The sequence below is a fragment of the Homo sapiens genome, chromosome 4 (genome assembly GCF_000001405.40).
Source record: "Homo sapiens chromosome 4, GRCh38.p14 Primary Assembly".
NCBI lineage: Eukaryota > Metazoa > Chordata > Mammalia > Primates > Hominidae > Homo > Homo sapiens.
In genome coordinates this window covers 65,216,169-65,217,830 of record NC_000004.12, presented here as the reverse complement: position 1 = coordinate 65,217,830, position 1,662 = coordinate 65,216,169, and the positions used below count along the sequence as shown (strand labels likewise).

General features: G+C 40.3%; 1 pseudogene; it reads right to left on the bottom strand.

Annotated features, from left to right (window-relative positions):
• Positions 1 to 436: 436 nt before the first annotated feature.
• Positions 437 to 1,197, bottom strand: LOC112268475 (arf-GAP with GTPase, ANK repeat and PH domain-containing protein 1-like; annotated as a pseudogene).
• Between the last annotated feature and the right edge of the window lie 465 nt (positions 1,198 to 1,662).

The following is a 1,662-nucleotide window of genomic DNA, read 5'->3' as shown; positions in this document are numbered from 1 at the left end:
TTTTTTTTCCTCTGGCTGTATGTATTTCAATAAACTATCATTTAGTTCAGAGATTCTTTCTTTTGCTTTTTAATGTCTTATGTTTCTACCATTGCTTGTACCCAAAATATGCAAAGCTCCTGTAAATGATTTTTTTCTTTAAAGAAAGTTTCCTCAAAGAAAAAGTGTAAACTCTCATTGATTTCCTTCCTTTGTGGAGTGAATTGCCTGTTATAGAAATTAAGGGGTATTTTGTGAGTTGCCCAGCTTTCTTGAGGAGCACTCCATTTCTACAGTTCTCCCTCCTATAAACTCTTTGTTGCAAGGCGTCAAAGGTCTATCAGAGATGCATTGAAGTCAGGACAAACAGTGGCAGTCTGGGAGCAATCAGCCAATCCAGAGTTCACTCCCACCACCAGTTGATTAAGGCCTGGAAAGCTGGGATGATTGTGGGCTTTCAGCACAATGCAGGCTGGTCTGACCATCCCTCGGCCCTGGCCAGGGGGAGGATAATGGACATAGGCTACAGCAGGCTGGAGATAAGTACTGGCTCTCAGTGCAAAGACAAAGAAGGGCAAGTCCTGTTTAACTGGGATGGCTCAGCTGCTCCCCATGCTGTCCATGTGACTTTTCAGGCCTTTCTTCTCTTTGTCTGGGTCACTCCATTTTCAAGAGGTGAAAAGGTTGGACTGGCACTTGGACTGCTTATGATTGGGCATAGGCTTGTTGGCAGTAGAAGGAACGTCAATCTAAAGTTCCTTCTGGCTGGTGCTGGGATTTGATGGGACAGAGGAGAAATAGCTCCTTGTGGCAACAATTTTTTGGTCAATGTCCTGGAAGACCTTCTCCACTTTTAGCCTGTGTGTAGCACACATCTCGTAGTACATGCACCGTTTTAGGTCATTAGAGGGCTTCTTCACCCTGGTGTCATCGATGACCTTTGGGTTAGTGGAACTTATGGCATCTTGAGTTCCCATCAGAACTAGAAGAATCTCCCTTGTGTTCTGGTAGTTGGCCATTCAACTGTAGTAGTGGCAAACAGTCTGCAAGCTTACCACATTCTCCAAGCTGTGGAAAAACATAACAGCATACACCTGCATGGCAAACTACGCCTTCTAGGGGCCCCTCTTCATCTCTTATGAGCAGCAGATAGCCCTATAAGTCAACAACAATCTCTTTCTTAAAATTGCTACCTTCAGGAGACTCCACCTGGACATATCAGGTACTAGTGTGATAGAAAGTACCAGTTTATATTCTTTAACAAACTGGAAACAGGTTTCTGCCTTTAACACTCTATTTCACATTTTCACTTCATTCTATTTATTTTTATTTCCAGAATTTCTGTTTGTTCCAGAAATTCTGGAAATATATATATATATTCTCTCTGTTAATTTCTAATTTTAGACCTTTTTTGTTTTTGTAATTTTGTTGAATCATCTATTTGCATTTTTAAAAAAGTTTGTTTAGCTTTTAAAAACAATTATTTAAACATTTGTCAGGCAGTTTATATAGTGCCATTTCTTTGGAGTCAGATACTGGGAATTATTGTGTTATTTTAGTGGTGTTATGTTTCTTTGTTTGTGTGTTTTTTTCATGGATTTTTATTGCCTTACTTTGATGTCTAGCATTTTACAGGCTAGTTTTTCCAAGGAAAAACCTTCTCTCCCCTTTGGGGTGGATGGA